Source organism: Homo sapiens, chromosome 7 (genome assembly GCF_000001405.40).
Source record: "Homo sapiens chromosome 7, GRCh38.p14 Primary Assembly".
Taxonomy (NCBI): Eukaryota; Metazoa; Chordata; class Mammalia; order Primates; family Hominidae; genus Homo; species Homo sapiens.
In genome coordinates, this window is record NC_000007.14 from 126,504,480 (window position 1) to 126,525,035 (window position 20,556).

A 20,556-nucleotide genomic window follows, 5' to 3' on the forward strand; every position below is an offset into this window, starting at 1 on the left:
TGATGACTTTTAATTTTTTATGTATCAATAGACATATAAAATGAGAACTTAAAACCTATCTACTGGGTACTATGCCTATTACCTGAGTGGTGAAATAATCTGTCTACCAAACCCCCATGACACACAATTTACCTATATAACAAACCTGCACATGTGCCCCTGAACCCAAAATAAAAGTTTTTAAAAATTACATCTTTAATCAATCAATGCACCAGTTATTTTTCAATTTTTCTGCTAAAATCACATATGCTGGTGATAAAAATAAATGAATATATGACATTAATTGATTGCCCCTGAATATTTTTTCCAGTAACATATTTACCAGTGTTTACACAGGATAATCATGATTGGGTGCCCCAAATTTTACAACAGTGCTCTGGAAAAGAGCTTCTTGCCCACTAATTTCCAAATAACTAAATTTTTATTACTAACTATAATACAAAATATCAAAATCACAAGTTAACAAGCATGAATAACTGGTAGTGGAGCCAAGTTATAGAGGTTTTTCATTCCAAGAAGGAAAAATGGAGGGCTTCAATTGCACAGTTGGAGTCATTCTTCAGTTTCAAGTGTTCAAAGTGGAATAGTGAACAGAAGAAGCAATTCTTGTCACCAATTAGGCTACATATTGACGGATGCAAGCAAACCTTCACTAGGACTAAAATGGATTTGGTGTATAAGCAGACTTATAGACATATAAAAACCACAACAGTTCTGCGTTCCTTCTTGCAACACCCAAATTTACTTTAGTGTCTTAATTCTGTAGGCTTATAATAAATCTAACCACTAATTAACATGAACACTAATTAGAATGGCCCCAAGTTAATACCTTAAGTATCTTCTCGAATAGACAGACTTTAGCTCTTTCCATGGATTTCTTACAGAATGTATAAATTCATAAGTGTTTTGCCCCCATTTACACATCCCCAATCTAAAAATGGTCCTTACTCAATGAAGGCTAATTCAGACAAGTGGTGGCCAGAGAACTCCTCAGAATCTAGGACAAGAACTGAGGTTCCCCAAACTAAATGGAGCAAGAAAGGAGCAATTGCTCTGCAAACTACTTTTACCTGTACATAGTTGAAGGTAAATAAAGTCCTAACAAGGAAAATTGAGGTAAACAAACCTTAGGTCCAGTCTGCCCTTTCTAGATGTCTCCTGCCCCGCTTTATATAATTTTTAGAAGTTTTAATCTGCTTTTTAAGAACAGCTTGTTGAAGTATAATTGTCAAATAAAAACTGCATATATTCAAGGTGTAAAACTTGACATCTTGATATAGATATACGTTTTGAAATGATCACCGCAATTTAGCTAATTAACATATCCATCACCTAACATATTTAATATTTTCTCTTTTTTATTCCTGTGGTGAGAACACTTAAGATCTACGCTCTTAGAAAATTTCAAGTATATAATAGGTGTTGCTAACTATATTCACCATGCTGTACATTAGGGGTCAAGAACTTATCTTGCATAACTGAAACTTCGCATCTTTTGCCCTGTCTCCCCATTCCTCTCCTCCTCCTAGCCCCTGTCAACCACCATGCTACTCTCTGCTTCTTTCAGTCTGACTATTTTCTATTCCACATATAAGTGAGATCATACAGTATTTGTCTTTCTGTGTCTGGCTTATTTCACTTAGCATAGTATCCTCCAGGTTCATCTAACATTGTTGCAAATGGCAGGCTTTTCTTCTTTTTTAAGGCTGGATAAAATTCCACTGCGTATATGTGTATACACACGTATGATTGTGTGTGTGTGTGTAGACATACGTGTATCTACACACACACACATATATATGTCACATTTTGTTTATCCACTCATCCATCAGTGAGCATTTAGGTTTTCCCTACATGACTTTATGATGCTTCTTTCAAATGTACTCCCTACAAAACTCTTACCTTCACGATGTGGACATTAGATCTACTGCCTATTCTGACTGCAAACTTCCAGAAGGGACTATTCTTTCCCAGAAAACCCCTTCCCACCTCTGAAAATTATACTCATCATTTAAGCCTCAATAATTTATTCAATAAACATTTCCTCCCCAGCACCTTGAGAGGCCCAGGCGGGCAGATCACTTGAGGTCAGGAGTTTGAGACCAGTCTGGCCAACATGGTAAAACCCTTTCCCCACTAAAAATACAATAATAGCCAGGCATGGTGGTGCGCACCTGTAACCCCAGCTACTTGAGAGGCTGAAGCACGAGAATCACTTGAGCCCAGGAAACAAAGGTTGCCGAGAGCTGAGATCACACCAGTGCACTCTAGCCTGGGCAACAGAGTAAGACTCTGTCTCAAAAGAAAAAAAAAAGAAAAAGAAAAAAAGAAACATTTCTTCAACCTCTCTCTGTGCTTCCTCTGCTAGGCAACAGGATATGTATGTAACTGAAAGGCAACTCTTCCCTTCAAGGAAATAACAATCTAGGGGTGAAGACACAGATGCAAACTGATATGTAAAATAAAATGCAGTAAATTACATAGGCAGGGCATACAAAATATGTCACAGATATGCAAGGAGAGGGCATATCTAAAGAGGCTCTCAATGAAGCCTTCCAAATCACCTACAGCCAAATAAGTGGTCCTCCTACTTTTACTTTCCGCAAGTAATTTTCTCGTGGCAATATGCTTTCTTGTGGCAATCTAAAGAGGCTCTCAATGAAGCCTTCCAAATCACCTACAGCCAAATAAGTGGTCCTCCTACTTTTACTTTCCGCAAGTAATTTTCTTGTGGCAATATGCTTTCTGATAAAGAAATGATGTCAGAAGCCAGACAGCATGTCTTCAAATCCCAGCTCTGTCACTCACCTATCTTTGTGACCTCAGGCAAATCACCTCCTTTCTGGAGATGTCAATTTATCTATCTCATTTATAAAATTGAATAAAAATAGCACGTCTTATGGTGTCAGTGTGAGGATGAACTTGTGTCATGAACAGCAGTGTCTGGCACTTAGTAATTACTTAACAAATATTGGCTACAAATATATCATTTTTCTCATCTACAATCAATTAGAGTTTGTTATTAGCATAACTATGACCTGTAATAAATTATAATTTCTTTGGGTGAATTTATCCATATTGCCAAATTGCAAAAAGTAGAGCTTTAATAATTGATTCTTTACTGGTACTTTTTTCTGTCTAAACTCCTGAAGTCTTCTCTTTCTCTGAAATCTAATTTGTATTTGCCTTTCACTATTGGCAACATTAAAGTATCAACTTCCCTTTGATGAAGGTCCGCAGCCCAGGGCCTGAATGGAACATCTGCTCTTATTAACAATTCCTTCTTTTTCGAGCTTGTCTATTCTTTTAGAGCAACTTGGCCCTAAATACCCCCTAACACCTCATCTTCAACCCTAATTCCCTGTATGGCCCTCCCCCAAGTTTTCCATGACTTCAGTCTGTTCAACAACAACTCCATTTCTATTAGTCCAATCATCTCTGGGGTCTGGGTTCTCTCTCTCCCCATCCCCTCTGTTCATTTCGAAACCCTCTATGTTTCCACTGTTTTACTCAAAGTAATGAGTAAGTACCTGCACTGGCAGGACAAGTATAGAACGTCAACAAGTGAAGATGTTCAATAAACCCTCATCATAGAGTATTCATTAATTATGATTGAAGAAGTAATCTACACCTCCAACTTCAGCTTCTGGCCTAAATTACATTTTTATACCTTTGTATATTATATTTTTGTATATTATTATCTCAGTTTGTTTTGTGTTGCTATAATAGAATACCACAGACTGGGTAATTTATCAAAACACACACACACTGGCACACACACACACACACACGCAAACACACATTGATTTCTCACAGTTCTGGGGGGCTGAAAAATCCAAGATCAAAGAGCTGTTATCTTGTAAAGGCCCTCTTGCTGTGTCATCACATGGTAGAAAGTAGAATGACAAAAGAGAGAGCCCATTCCTAAAAGCCCATTTAAAAATGATATTCCTCCATTCATGAGGATGGAACCTCATGACCTAAACACCTCCCATGAGGCCCCACATCCCAATACTGTTACTTTGGCAATTAAATCTCAACATGAGTTTTGGAGGTGACAAACATTCCAACCATGGCAACAATAAATGAATGAGATTTGTTTTAGTGCAGTAAAATTATTTGTTGTATTTTTCAGTAATATTTAGAGAAAAGCTTATTTCAGCAGAAGCAATAAATGTGTTATAAATGATCCTTCCAAACATTTATACTTATAATTGTCAAGCACAGCCATCTAATAAGAGTTGAAAGGTAAATTAGTTAGGAAAACTGGGTTGCCTCTCAAATAAATAATCTAGCATGTGTTTTGAAGAATGAATGACGTATATAAGGAAGAGTTTAGAGGAACTTTTCAATCCTAGAATGGCATAAAATATATGAAGCTCTGTCACACTTCATAAATCAGTACTGTTAGTAGATCCATGTCAGACAGCAACTGTGTTTGCAAGTACCAACGTAATTATAAATGGAGGGCATCACCAGGAGTGGTTCTACACAGATCTGACCCAGGTGATTTACAAAAAGGTTGTCTCTCCATAACATATACTTGGATGCAGTCACTTACATTTGCTAATTGCTACTGTTTCCTAATTATTCCTGGGAGCAAGAGGGACAAATGATGCCCAGAATAAATTTGAAAAGCATATTGGAACTCTGAAGACAGGGGCAGAAAAGTGAATATTTTAGGATAAACATTTTTAACACCTTTTTCTTCCAAAAAGTGTTAAATTTTCAATATGGTTAAAATATCGAAATAGGTAGGTTATTGCTGCAAGAGAATGGTTGGCTTCATAGCTAATATCACATAGTGGAATTTTGACTTCTGGGATGTGGCTTATGACACCAGAAAGACAGACACTTGAGGCAATAAAGGTCATTATTTTTGAGATTCAGAAACTATATATTTGTCCAGGTAATGGCTGATACGCACATAAATAAATTGAACGTGGAGAGGAGTGATGAATAAAAGCCCACATTCAGTTGTGAAATAAATTACAAATTGAGCACATTATGAAGACAAATACACTGTAGAAAGCACATTAAAACAAAGTAATAATAAAAGTATTATTACAAATCAGTGAATGATTACTATATCCCAGGCACTTGAAGGTATCTGATTCAATGCCCCAGTATCCCTTTGAGGTAGGTAATTATCACCTCCAATTACACAGATTTTTTAAAATGAGGCTTAATTGATTTAAATCTTGCTAAAATTCTCAGAGCTAGCAAATGATAGAGATAAAATTTGAAATCAGGACCATCTGATTGCACAGTTCATCATGATACCTAGACATTTAGGAGAAAATATTGGAGAAATGGGCAGGAAAAGTCCTAAATGACCTCAGACACCTCTACACATAGGACATAGGTAATAAATAAAATAAAATTGTGATGATAACAGGTGAGAAATAGAACTTCATAGATGCAAATAAGATCTGAAAAATAGGACAATTATTCCCATTGTTGTCATTCCGGCAATACCAGAAGAGGAAGCTTTAAGCACATACACACACATGCACACATGATGTCTATTAGAAAGAAAGGTAAAATTGTCTGCAAGTCCAGATGACATGCACCTGTAGCAATACTGAGTTCCCTCTGGGAAGGATATGAATGAGGTATTCCCAACATGATCACAAAGTTGCGGCATGCTTTTAATCTATAGCTGCACATTTCTTTTGGCAGAAAGAAGACTCTTCTAAGTTCTTCCCTAAATAATACAGCAATATTTTATGAGCTTTAAAAAAGTATACAAATGACACTGGACACTATCCATGGCTCAGCAGAAGTACACTTTAAAGACACATAGGTTTTAGCAAAAAAAAAAAAAAAATGAACTCAATATGATTTAAGAGTTGATATGGCTTCCAAATAAAAGATGATGTGATGTGATCGTAGTATTCATTAAGAGATCTATCTAATCTAGTTCCCTGAGAGAACTGACCTGTGCTAGTCCAATATCTCTTGGCATACTCTGCTTCATTCTTGTCAAAGATTTCAAGAGGGATTTATTGAACATTTAAAATGGAAAAAACCAGAATATCTGAAGGACTTTTGAAGGAAATAAGCATGTTTAAAGTGAAAATAAATTTCAAAGAACCATGGTGGCTACCCTCAAATATGTAAAGAATTGATTGATTGCCACGTGGAAGAGGGTTAGAATTTTTTATGGCCAACTATGTTATACATTAGCTTGGAAGATAAAGAGCTTCTAGTTACTGGAGGCATTTAGGCATCATCTGAACTGATGCATTGGTTAGCATCACTTTTTAGTGAGTAATTGGACTCAGTGTCTTTTAAGAGCTCTCTCAGTGCTGACACTGTACTCTGCACATATTCCTTCACTGCCCTCCATGTGACATTGGCACATATTTGTGAAATATTTTGACCAAAATTAGAAGTAAGTCTTTAGAGATAACTAGCTTGAGGGCTTGCAATAGAGCTACATGGAGATTTAATCAGTGGCCTTGGACTCATTAGCGCCACATCCTCCAAACCTGGCTCTTACATAGTCATGGTCAAAGTGTGTTGGTGAAGCAGACAGGTAAGAAGCCATCTGAAGATATTCTTACAATTCATACTCATCTACATATTGAGAAGTCTGCCTTTTCTTTTTCTCTATGGAGATATCTATAAGCAGGTAGTGGGTTGTAGGGAGATCAGTACTGCCAGTAGCAGCTATCCCATGGTCTTCACGTAGTTGGGAGACTCACTAAGACGAAGCTCAGTGAAAATTTCAGGGCTGTGCTGTTTATTATGGTCTGCTATGGTATGATCACCCACCACTTCTGGTTTACACCTATATCAAATTCCAACAGCTGCTGAGCCTGAGTAAGTCATAAATATAATGAACTTTGACATGACTGAAGGAAAGTTAATTTGAATTATATCATCTCAGCAATACATCTCCTTGAGAATTTTAGAATAAAAACATCCTCAACAAATCTATAGACAACATGGCAATTTTATATACCTCTTGTGGTTTTCAAATCATTCTTCCCTCCAAGGCCAATTGTGATGAGGGTGACTCTATGGGTTATGTCTTTTATTCCATTGAAGGCAAGTTATCATAAGGCTAGTTACCAGAGGAAAGTTACCACCAAGGAGATGAAGAGCATGTGCTTCAATGAATGACTGTGTTAACAGTGTGTTAATCAGAACAAGTACTAGGAAAAGTGGGAATTTAAATGTGGCACAAAGGCCAAGGCATGCACCAATGTAAATTTAGAAAACTGTCGAGAAAATATGTATGGTTACTGCTGGAAATAATTCTTCAGCCAATTTGGTAAAACTCTAAGTGTTAAAGTGATGAGAGATCCAATGGGAAATCTCTAGAGTTTGGCTGTGAGTTATAAAGTTCATAAGAATGCCAAAAAGGCCAAAGAAAAAATAAAAGTAAAATAAATTAGTTGCAAAATCATATGTGGGGTTGGATCTAAAGGAAAGTTGAACACATAGAAAACTGAGTTAAAACAAACTTTTAAGTCCTGAAAAGGCAGAGAATTAGCCGGTGTAGGAAGCTGAGTCTCAAAATTAAGGATCTTGATAACTCTATGGAAACAAAAAGTTAAGAAAGGCATTTTCTGCTTATAGATTAATAACCAGTATTGGAGGAGAGAAACATAGCAATTCAGATCTGTTTCCCTTCTCCCCCAGCAGAGAGGATGAAAATTGGCCATTGTGTATACCTCCCCAGACTCACTGTATACCTCCCCAGAGGAAGTTAGAGAATAAGATTGACCTGATCAACTGGTATATTCAGCTATGGCTGGAAAGAGAGAGTTCCCAGGCAATCCCATTATTAACTGTGCTGGTGGCTACTTTGTGCAGATTCCCTATAGGCTCAGAACAGACCTCCATATTATTCCCTGATAGTCTGATTCAAATGAGATCCCATATTTCCTGGTAGGAGAACATGGTTAACAAGGTGCCGTATGCCAGTCTGAGCCACACTCTCGACACCTGACCTCTCAACAAATGGTGCTGCAGCCTCTTGTGGCCTCCCCGTTATTGCTCACACCATCAATCCCTCTGTGGTATAAAACGGAACCATCCAGTATGTGCTCCAAATCCTAGGCTGTGACTCTGCCTGATGCCCCCAGCTTGGGATACAAACTCCACAGACATCATAATCTACAGCTGAAACACAGGTATAAGAGGCTTTGGACATTTCCAGGCTGCCTCAGCACTCCTTCAAAAGCAAAATCAAAGAATAAGAAAATGTTTATCCTGACCATCCAAACCATGCATATAAGGTTGAATGGAAAGATTTGGGAATAGTGCTGAGATGAATGACTTGGAATTGCTACACCTGCTGGAGTTTATTCCACTCCAAAATGTCTTTATTCCATCAGGAAGGGAACTGCCCTGGAAATAGGTGCTGTTACTGGGGCCATCTCTTAGGCAGGAAAAAATTCAGACACCAACAAAAGCCAGATTATAGCTCATTGTCTGTGACTTGATAGATTGAAGACAGACCATTATTTTCATGGACCACAACACCAAAAGCTACAAATGGCAGAGCCAATATATCCTTTTGTTTCAAAATGTCAACTATAAAAAGCCTAGAGTTTTCCTATCATTACCACTTTTCTGGATACCTGTATGTTTCAGACAATGGAATTATTTTCTCTGTAGGCTTTTAAAAATAAGTCTTTAAAAATTGGTCTAATATGTTGTACCAAAGTCTGTCAATTAAGAAATAAAGCTCTTGTTTTTAAAAAAAAAGAGTCATGGAAACAATTTCTAAAATCCATATGCTTTAAAACCTGCAGTAAGATCATATTGTTTAGAATGAATGTGTGTGGTCTTCTTACCTGACCCTTCGGGTATTTTTTTTTTAAGAATCCCAGGACAAGCATGTGTAGTGATAAAAACAGCAAACACTACACGGATATTTCACCAAAGGCTGGTGAAACTCAGGATAGTTAAACTAGATAGCTTTCATTTCCATCACTGGCTCTACCTAATGTTAGTATATTTCTTAAACCAGGACTTCTTAGGAAGTTCAGTGGGCACTAGCAAATCTGCACTATGCAACTGGAAGAAACTTGTATACATAGCCACTTTCCAGTCTTGGCTAACACCATCAGCACAATGTCAGCTTATTTTCCACTTCCGGTTGCTCTACTGTCTGTTATCATCATGTTGACACAGCATACATTTCCCTTCATTATCACCTCTCTCCTTACTTTTATACTTAGGTAAGTAGGACTGAAGTCAAGTGAAACCTGTTTTTTAGGTTATGAAATAAAGAGAGATTAGAAATACTGAGAACATGGGTAGTAAGAGAAGGAGGACTTAGAGACCTGTTTGTCTATATTAATTCTCCATCAGCCTAAATAGATTAAATACTGATTCCAAATTGATTATAATCAGAGGTGTATACTACCAAACACTGAATTACTCTCTCTTCATAAATGAAAACTGCCTACATGTAGCTTTTTATCGGAGTTCTTTTTAGGTGTTTCAAGAACAAAATTTTAATCATCAGGTTCTAAAAAGAAACAAAGTAGAGAGAACAGAGTCAGCCTCATTTGTGCAATCATGCATTTGTTCATTTCTTCAAATAAAATGTCCTGCTTACCTATTATATTGTCAAGCACAGTGCTGGGTACAGGAAACACAGAGATGAGGAAAATAAGTATCCCAGTGCCTATGGAGATGAGCATTTAGTGACTTAAATAGCCCCAGCAAGTCCGCAGATGCTGGAGTTGTGGTCCATCTGTTTTTGTTTCTCTCATTGACTTGCAATTGGGATACCAACAAGAAATCTGATATTACTCCATGTGAAGGACGATGCATCCAATTTCTATGTGGTTTTATAGGAGCCTAGTTCAATAAAGCTGTAGTGAATGCTTAAAATGAAGCAGTGGGTATGGCTTAAACAATTTGGACTTTGGAGACATTAGGCTTCAAAACCAAACTTGCATTTAAATCCCTGTTTTACAACTCACAAATTCCATGAAACTGTTTTACTATCAGAAAAATGGGTGAATATTTATGAAATGATCTTTGTATAACTGTGGTCAAAGTATGCATTAGCATGTGTATTCTTCTCTTTCTCTAAGCTTTTACTCAACACCTTGAGGACAGAGAATGCAAAACTATATAAGATCAGGAATACAGGAAGATAACACACGGCAAGAGGAACTTTGAATATGACTTTAAAACATTTTACACCCAAGAAAATATCAATGCTTATAAAATTAAATAAAAACTGTATATAGAGATGAATAAGAATATATATTTAGATAATACATTTTAGATAAAAATGTATATCTCTAGGCATTGTTCATTACCATTCTCATTGTACTAATTAAAATTCTAAATATTATTTGGAGGGGTTAATATTTCTGTATCAACCAAATTCTAAGAATTTTTTAGTATTACATTGAATGTTTGATAGGAATTTATTTCTAGAGTTTAAAAATGAGCTAGCAAACTCAACTTGTATTGTACTAGCAATAGTACACTTACTAAATTATTATAATTACATATTGCAATCCTTATAATCTATTTGTTTCTTTAAAATTATTATATGAAGGTCTCCCATATTTATCACACGAGTATCTGATATAAATGTGTGTGTTGGGGGGTATGTAAAATATACAACTTTCATTTGACTTGTATTTTGGATTTTGTTCTTTTGTTTTTGCAATGGCTATATCTTAATTTCATCATATATCATAATTGAAATTGGTTTGCAAATTTTCTTCAAAGTTATATATCTTCATTTACTATACACATGATCAAATGTGAATTAGGATGCTTAATGCATAGTATATCAGCTTAATATGCCATGTTTCAAATTGTACATTCATATCCTTTGAAAAATGTTTAAGATTAAACACATTTTTAAAATCATCATTATTATTATAAGATAATCTTAAGGGATTGTATGTCATGTCTAAAAACAGTAGAAAATTATACAAAAAGTCATCTAAATCAATAATGTACACAGTATTTACTTACTGTATAAGTTTCCTATTGCTGTTATAACAAAATTACCAGAAACTCAGCAGCCTAAAACAACACAAAGTCACTGCCCTGCAGTTTTGGAGTCAAAACTTGGCTCCAAATGGGTCTCACTTGGCTAAAATCAAATTAGCAGCAAGATTGCATTGCTTTTGGAGGCCTTAGAGCGGAACCTGTGTTCTCACCTTTTTCATCTTTTAGAGGCTGTTTTCTGCATTCCTTGGCTCATGGCCCCTTCCATCTTCAAAGCCAGCAATGACAAGTTGAGTCTTTCTCAGGTCGCACTACTGACTCTTCTGCCTCCCTCTTCCATATCTGAGACACAACCGGATAATTTAGGATAACCTCCTTATTTTAAGGTCAGTTGATTAGCAGCCTTGATTCCATCTATTACTTTAATTCCTTTTTGACATTTAATATATTATATTCACAGGTTCTGGTGATTAGAATGTTCACATCTTTGGGAGGCCCTTATTCTGCTTAACACAACTATTTACTGTTGAATTTTATGCCATCTATTCAAGGAACACTGGTCTACTTTATATATTTTATTCTAATTTAAGCAATATTTGTATGATTAATGTTTTTATGCCTTAAATGTATTTGTAGAATTTTATTAAATTCTTATAGCAAGTATTTCAGTATTCCAACTTTTTGTTTGTTGTTTATGATTCATCTTATCAATCTACTCTCATCAACCTAGAATACAGTTGCTGGATAAAATACAGGACATCCAGTTACATTTTAATTTCAGATAATTATATTTTAGGATGCCACTTTGTATGACACATTTACACAAAATAATTATCCATTGTTTATCTGAAATTAAAATTTAACATAACATCTGCATTTCTATTTAATAAGTCTAGCAACCCTATCCTAGGAAACCCTGAACATTGTTCCTCTGTAGAACTGAAAAAGAATTTGTGGGATCATCTGTTAAGACCTCTTATGGAGAACTGAGACCCAAATACAACTGCAGTTGATGTTGGAATGGTTTCAAATAGAAGCAGAAGGTATTTTTTTTCAGAATTTTAAATGACTCAAAATAAATATTTGGCCAACAGAAATCAGAAAGAAGCATGCTGCTATTGCATGAAATTAAACTAAGCAAGCATCTATGATTTCCTGACAGAAAGTATGCTTCCAGTAGGATAGCAGCAAGAAAGAGAGCCCTTTGGTATAATACCTGATTACATGGCACCACTTTAAATTAGTGTAATATTCTAAGAAAGAGAACATGGGAGGCAATTTGAGAAATAAGCCATGATTTAGGAATTCATAGTATAAGTGGACCAAATAGAAAATACTGTTACTTGTATATATCTTACTTTATCTAAGATATTTAAGATATCTCAAAGTTAATTTCAACTATGGTTGTTTTGCTCCAGAAAATAAATTGTTTATGCTTTTTAATCAAATACTGCAAATATATGAATTCTTTTAAAAAAACACATATTTAAAGATTTCTTGACAGACTATGTTATTAGAGTGTGGAGAATAGAAAAAAAAGTCTTATAAACAAATCATGTTATAACATATCTCTTTCTACTTAGTCATATTACGGTCATAAAAATAATTTTACTTTAAATACAAAACAATTTAGTAATTGATATTAAATAATTGGGCTCAATTCCATTAAATCACATGAAAATATGAAACATTTTGTGTCTGTTTAGGGCCAGTTTTACACCAGAAGAGTACAATGCTTATAGGTACTATAGTTACTGCAGATTTACATAACAAGAATATAAACTTAACATTTCTCAAGTGACCAAATGCATCAGCAAAAAAGTAGGGACAGCAGAGTTTAGAGAATGCCAAAGGGATTTAGGTTGGTCAGTATGGCAAATGAAGACTCGTCATCTCACTTACCAACAAACGAGTAAGAAGAAGCAGGAGTCTTAGTCAATACTCAAACCAATCCTGTGTGCTGAGCATTGTTTTTATCCCCATTTTACAGACACGAGCTGAGGCTTAGAGTGGGAATATATGCCACGTCACTTAGTACATGCCCAAACCACAATTTGTGTCAAGCATCCAGTCTCTACATCCATGCTTATAAACACTATACCATGCTGCCTCCATGCAATTAAACTGAATGTGATTTAATTGCTCAAGTTGTTATGTTAAACAGTGTAAAGTTTGTAACTATCACACATTGTGATCAGTTAAAATTGATTATATAAAATATTATGTGTGTTGTGAATATGGCCTTTATTTTTCAAAATAATCAAAACTTATTTCAACTTGCACTAATATCTTCATAGAGCTCCTGGATAATGGCATAAGAGTTTGGGGAATTAAGATTCTGGAGAAAAGCACCTGCTTTTGAAGGTTTCAAGTCTAAGGGAAATAATTATTTTAGATAGATTGCCCCATAGGATTTTCAACCAAAGGAAGAGAACTCGTCACCTATATGGTTTCCATATTTGAATTAAGTCTTAAACTATCATGAATTTATTTTTAAGAAAATTACAGCTTTTCTTGTTCCCAATTACAAAAGTACTTTAAAGTGTTGGCTTTTTCTTAGGTTCCATAGGAAGAGTCAAGAGAAAAAGACATAAAAGGGAACTTAACTGGTTCTTGTCACCAACACTTTACAATTTGTCATGACAGGACTGCTTAGTAGACACAATGTCCTTCCCTCTTTTTTAGCCATTGAGGCAGAGCAATTTATGATACTACATTAACTGGCAGTATGAGGAAAACGTGGTAGAAGAGGATAAGGAACTCGCTAATGTGAAGCGAAATAAAAAATGAGTTTCTAATAAGAGATTACTTTACACAATAACTTTTCTGGGGTCACATCAGTCTTCCAGCTTGTGGCTTATGTATTTCCATAAGAGGAAAAACATTTTGAATGACAAACAAGAAGTAATGATGAGTAGAATGTGCCACAGAAAAGTTAGGTAATGTTCAACTAGCAAAATCTGATATACTGAGAGGTATCTGCTGTGGGCTATACTTTTATTTTTGCAAATAGAGAGCAAGAAATTTATAAATTAATGTAAAGTACTGAGTACTGGGCATCCTTTTTCTCTTTCTGCCTAAGATAGCTCATAAAACATAAACATATGGTTATCAATAGATACCCCATAGGGCTCTTGGGAAAAGTAATTCGGATTCTGGATCATACGTTTGTATCATGCTATGTTGATGTGAATGCAATTGATTAAGGTTTATGAGACCAATAATCCACCTTAAGTATATTTATCTTCTAAAATGCTTCCTGCATTAATTTGCATCTCTCACTGAATATGCATAATAATCTTCATGTGCATTTGCTTAAAAATTAGGTCATGCCTCTGAGTAGTTGACCATTTCTTATGTAGCTGGCATTTTTTTTTCTAAAATAAGAGCATCTTAGAATTAAACAGACCCTTAGAGACTACCTAGTCAAGTTCTCATCTTACTTGAGGTAAGAGGACAAGATTCAGAGAAGATAACTTCCTTAATCAAGTCCACAGATATGTTAATGAGAAAAGAATCTCAATTTCTTGTCTACCAGGCCAATCATTTCCTTTACTTTTAACTTTAACTCACTTTTTAGAACACATTAACTCAGAATTGGCTTAAAAATGTTTATCCCTTTTTCTTTTCTTTTTATCAATTTCAACAAAAACCTTGTACTTGAAAACTAGTTGCAAAGCACTTGGATTGTGGGGCTGGCAAGAAGTGAGAGTTGGGAAGAATGCACAAGAATTATGATGATCTCTTCCTGAGGAATCGCTGAATGGAAATACAACCATAGTTGCATAAATAACTGAAGAACAACACAGAACACAAATCTGGAAATGTAAAATAATGGACATCCAGATAGAGCACATATGTGTTTAGAACTTGTATTAATAGGGAAGATTTCATGGATTAGTTGATTTCATAAGAAAATTGGTTTCACTGAAATGAAGAGTGGTATAACAAAATGAAAGTGGTATTAATAAAGTTTGGAAAGTTTGGATTTGAGCTAATAGTCAATAGGAATTAATTTTACTTTAAGAACCCTTAATAGCACCACTGAGAGTACACATAGCAATTTTTACTGAGTAACTAAATTATCCCTTTAAAAAAGTCTCTTCTACAGAATTCAAGCTCCACGATGGCAGGCCACTTCTGGCTCAAACAGTGCTGTTAGTATTCAGCAGAATGACGGTGTTAAAACAAAAATGGACTGATTGAGTAACTATAAAAGAAGTGGCAGTCTACGGCCATACCACCCTGAACGTGCCTGATCTCATCTAAAAGAAGTGACAAAGAAGAAGTGTTGTGCAAGAACTTTATGGCAAAAATCTGGAAGTCACTTTCGAGTACAGTGATCAGTGCTTATGTAGCTAGCAATTTTTTTCTAAAATAAGCATCTTAAAATTAAACAGATTCCACCCAGATGTGGACTAGAGATTTGACCTTGGAAGTGAGAAGGAAAAAAATAGATCTAGGAGAAATTTCAAACAAACACTATAATTTGTTGACAGAGTCTAAACAGGGTAAAAAGAAGAGAAGTCGGTGTCAACTTCCAAGTCTGGATCTCTGAAAGACAAAGATAATGTTGACATAGAAAGGAGGAAATAAAATAGACACTGAGCATAACAGAGAAACATAAGGTAGGTTTTAAGCCTGAGACCTATGGACAAAAGGAGATTTGACCTTGGAAATGAGAAGGAAAAACATAGATCTAGGAGAAATTTCAAACAAACACTGTAATTTGTTGACAGAGTCTAAACAGGGGAAAAAAGAAGAGAAGTCTAAAAAGAAGTTTAACTTCTTTTCTCTAAACTTCTAAAAAGAAGGTTTTATTATTCTAAAAAGAAGTTTAGAGAAAAGAAAATGGTTTAAATATAAATAACATGATTTGGCATGATAGGAAACATTCAATGAATAGTGACCATTTTAAACATGATACATTTGGGGTTTTAGATAGCTTAATTTCACAATTTGGGTTTTGGATTGCTTTCTGATCCCAGTTTTGGATTGTTTTAGTTCACATTTTTGAACACGTAAAAGGGCAGAGATTAAGAAAGCAGTGAGGAAAGCACGAATGCAGCTTTTCTAGCAGGAGATATGTGAATGATGAGAATGTCAAGGGAATAGTGCCTGGGAGAAAGTCCAAAATGGGGCAACTTGAACAGAAGGAAGATGAGATAAAGAAGACAAAGAAACAAAAAGATTCAAAGCAATGTGGTTTCCCAGAGTGCAGGGGAGGGGAAGATATAAAATGAGGACATATCATTAGCAATCACCAATCTATGCCTGCGCTATACATAAAAAATATATAAAATAATAAGAGAGGTGGAAACAGGTAATTTGACGGCCTTCTTTGGAGACATGTACGTTATAATCCTATGGTAGTGACTCCCTCTACTCATTGCCAGTCTTCTTGCCATCTTCTATACATATTCTTCTTTTGTATTTCGAATGTAATTATTTCGTGCTTTTTATTGTCAGTTCTTAACAATAAATAGGCAGTGTAACCAAGTGTTCGATAAATTGCCATTTGATTGGACATTTTAGCATGGGGAAAATGTTTTGTTGAAGAAAGGACAGCACTACAGTGATAAGCTGCCTGCTGATGTAAACACTTTAAGGGTTTATGACAGGCTCACTATCTACCAATACTATTTTCAATTCAATTCAATTTGAGTAGATGAGGATTTTAGAGAAAGCAGCTGCCAGGAGAAACATATGACATTTAATCTTATCTGAGAACATGAAATCTTCTGCAGAAGCTATAAGTACATACGTGTGTGTAATTTGAGTCTTAGTGTATATTCAAAAAGGTTATAGAGGAAGCTGTATTCTATAGGATTTAAGCCAACAGACAAAAGAAAATACATTTCTTGGTATTTTTCCCAAGATACACTTGACTGAACAAATAACATAGAGAGTCTAAAATTCCAAGTGAAAACATTCAACTGATTGCAATTTTTGAACTATTTTTTTTTTCAAAATGGTAACCTTAATTCCTCTTCTAAAATCCCACAAAAACCTACAATTAGTGTGGATGCTATTTGATTGGTTGAAAACTAGTCCCTGTTAACAGGATTCAAAACACTGCCAAAATACAGAACCCTGCGGATTACCTTATGGACTCAATATATTACTTTAAAAAATGATTTTAAAGAAAAACAACAGAATAATTGAAAATTGACTAATTCTGATTTTATATGCAAGGCACTCAAAATTACACAAAACTGAGTTGTGGTAAAGAAAAAAATATTTAGTGAATTTGGTCATGACCATGACAAATAGTAAAAATAAAGATTACTCTAAAATTTGCCCAAGCACATTGTAATATAAAATCCATTTAACTTTCAAATTTATATAATAAACTGATTATATATTTAAATTGGATGCATCATTTACAAATAATTTGGCTTTTATTTCTAATGAATGTGCCTTTTATTTCAACTATCAAAATTCATTTCCACATTATTTAGCAGATTTGTTTACTCAAAATCATAATCTACCAGATACTCATGCTGTGTATCTTTACTTTTGCTTTTATCCACACAAATTGATTTTTACCCAATTTTCACTATTTTGAGCCCAAATATTCTTCTCCATACTTGTCTAGATGCAGTCATTAGCCATTTAAAAACTGGTTTGCTCTTTTAGTCCAGACCAGAGAGAAAGCTATGACTCTTCCTTGAAGTCCAATTGGGTAGAAACCTTGTAGCAGCCCCAAAGAAGGTTGCACATTACAAGCACAATCACATGCCATAAACTGCAAACATCTCATTTTCCATTGTCTTCTGTTCCCAATTCAACTTGAAATGAGTCCTCTCCTTTCCACTTCCACCGCCACATGTCAAACCCCCAATATTTCTTGCCTGGATTTCCTCAACAAACTTGTTATTTTATTTTTTCTTATCCACATCCCCTGCAACTCTTCAGACTCTCCACTGGCAGAGAAATTTCCCAAAATATAATGGTACTGAGAACATATTCATGCTCAAAAAGGTTAAATATACTCGAATCCCTAGCAAATGAAGTACAAACATGGCATAAATCCCTTCATAAAATGACTCCCAATTATCTGACTATCCTTGTTTTATAGTAATCATATAATTTTTCGCCCACACTGGAAAATACTTTTTCAGTGGAAAAGGTGTGTTATTAACAAGGAAAAAAGGAATATGTGGCCTCCCAGTTCTCCTTGTGGCTATCTTAAACTTAAAACAGGTTTTTGGTCACAGGTTTTACAAACAATGCCCAACTTTCCCTTCTCTGAAAGTGTAAACCCACTATTTCTATTGTCTAGGAGGCTGTTTGCATCTGTTCCTTTCCCTCTTTTAGGCCTTTTTAAATTCCCACTTCCTTCATGGACAGTTTCTTCATCCGTTCACCATCCCTGGTCCCAAGACGTCATACTGTGAACTTCACCTCCATTATCTTACTCTGCCTTGACCAGTCACTTCTGTGCTTGGTATTATCCCCCTGACTTGACCCTTAAAAATCTGATGACTTCTTATTCATTTTTGCATTTTTCTGAATACCAAACAAAGGTTTTTGCATAAAGCAAACATTTAATAAATACTTTTGATGAAATGCCATCATCAGCTATAAGCTGACACTTAAATTGTGGCCATTGAAAAGTATTTATTTAGCAATTGTATTAAACCTAAAGAAGAGGACGTTCAAAAAGGATTTTTGTCAACCAAAGATTTTGAGTCATTTTACAAATTCAAAATCATTCATCCATTCCTGCATCAAAGATTTTCTTTAAAAATTTATTATATATCAAAAGCCCCTAATATGAAAATGTACCTTTATGTTGTCTTAGAAAAGTTTTTCTTGAGACTTTCATTTAAATTCTTCTGTATGCGATGATTTATACTTGAATAATCTTACATCTCCTGATCCCATTGTATAGAATTAATGAGTTTGAATGTTTTTTTGTTTTGTTTTTCCTGTTGTGTAAAGAATGTACTCATATCTCTTGAGTTACCAATTTTAGATAGTATCTATTGGCTACTCACAGAAAAAGATGAGTGATTTAGTGTTTGCACAAGTCCCCTCTCTATTGTCCCTTTTCACAGACCTCTCAATTTTTTTTTTTTTTTTGAAACAGAGTCTCACTCTGTCACCCAGGCTGGAGTGCAGTGCGCATAATCTCAGCTCGCTGCAGCCTCCATCTCCCAGGTTCAAGTTATTCTCCTGCCTCAGGCTTCAGAGTAGGTGGGATTACAGGCACCTGCAATCATGCCAGGCTAATTTTTGTATTTTTAGTGGAGATGCGGTATCGCCAGGTTGGCCAGGCTGGTCTAGAACTCTTGGCCTCAGCGATCTGCCCACCTCGACCTCCCGAAGTGCTGGCATTACAGGCATGAGCCACCATGCCCGGCCAGACCCCTCAATTTTTAAAATTTATATTACTATTTTTGATTTACAGGGTTTGTATAATATTTACATTACTCACATTAGTAGATAATATTTGTTTGTATAATATTTACATTACTTACATTAGTAGATAAATTAATACTTCTCTATTTTGTTTCTAGATTCCTTCTAACAACGTAATATCAATTCAAAAAGCAATTACTATATTATGGCTACTAAATATTATTCCCTTCAGATTCATTCAGGTAGCATAACTGGACTTGCAGAAAAGGAGTAAGCATAATTATTAAAATCCTGGTTTTTAAAGGATTATGGATATATATGAATATATTGTGAATATATTAACCACCAGGGTCTAATATATCCTTTCTCGAGTTAAACAAAAAGTTAAAAAAAATCCTTCTGGATCATATGTGATTGCCACTGCCTTACTGTCTCATATCTGACATGCCTTTTTTTGGATAATTCATATGTAGATATGTAGGCATCAGATTTTCTGGGCCATTTACATTTTTAGCCTAACATTGATTGATAGTTTGGTTGGCTATAGAATTTTAAGTTTAAAACACGGTTCCTTCAAGAAAGACTTTGCTCAATTCTGTTTAGAATTCAAGGAGGCACATGAGATCTGATGTTCATTCTTTGTAGGTATCTTTTTTTCCCTTCTAAAAGTTCCTAGAATTTTCTGTCAATTAGTGAAAATTTACTAAGATGTTTGGCCCTTTCCATTTTTTCAATTTTAAGAATTTTCTTTCTTCAGTTGTGAAATCTTCCTTCTGTTTTGTTTTTGTATTTAGGTTATTTCCATTCTTTGTCTCTGTTTCCTCTTCTAGGATGTTTATTAGATATATATTGGGATCTTGCATTTATGCTCAACATGTCTTAATTTTTCCTCATATTTTCCTTTTTTTCACTTTTCTTTCTGGTTCTGACTTTTATTTTGCCCTCTAGATCTCTGCTCTGGTTCTATGTTTCAGCACATCTGTTCAGCTTTTTATTTTCACATTCATAATTTTAGTTTCTGGGATCATATGCTTATTCCCTGACTGATATTTTCCATAGCCACTTGCATGTGTGTGTATGGGTCTGTGTTCAATATTTTCTTGATTCACTCTTAAAATGCTAGTTAAAATTGTTTTTTAAGAACATTTTCTTATATTTCCTGAATTACCTGTGGGATTTTTTTTTTGAGTCAGTTAATGCTGTTTTGTTTCTTTTTTAGTGTTTTAAAATTCTGCTCTGGGT

General features: G+C 35.0%; 1 protein-coding gene, 1 long non-coding RNA gene and 1 pseudogene across 25 annotated transcripts in view; 2 read left to right on the forward strand and 1 right to left on the reverse strand.

The window, feature by feature from the left end:
- The window catches only part of GRM8 (glutamate metabotropic receptor 8), an 814,344-nt gene that overhangs the window by 65,882 nt on the left and 727,906 nt on the right, over positions 1-20,556 (reverse strand). The window lies entirely within an intron of this gene.
- The window catches only part of LOC101928357 (uncharacterized), a 41,965-nt gene that overhangs the window by 9,168 nt on the left and 12,241 nt on the right, over positions 1-20,556 (forward strand). The window contains exon 2 of the long non-coding RNA XR_927937.3: positions 11,176-11,333. This is a non-coding gene — a long non-coding RNA (uncharacterized LOC101928357). The remainder of the gene's footprint in view (positions 1-11,175; positions 11,334-20,556) is intronic.
- LOC100422325 (poly(A) binding protein cytoplasmic 4 pseudogene) lies at positions 6,659-8,317 on the forward strand (annotated as a pseudogene).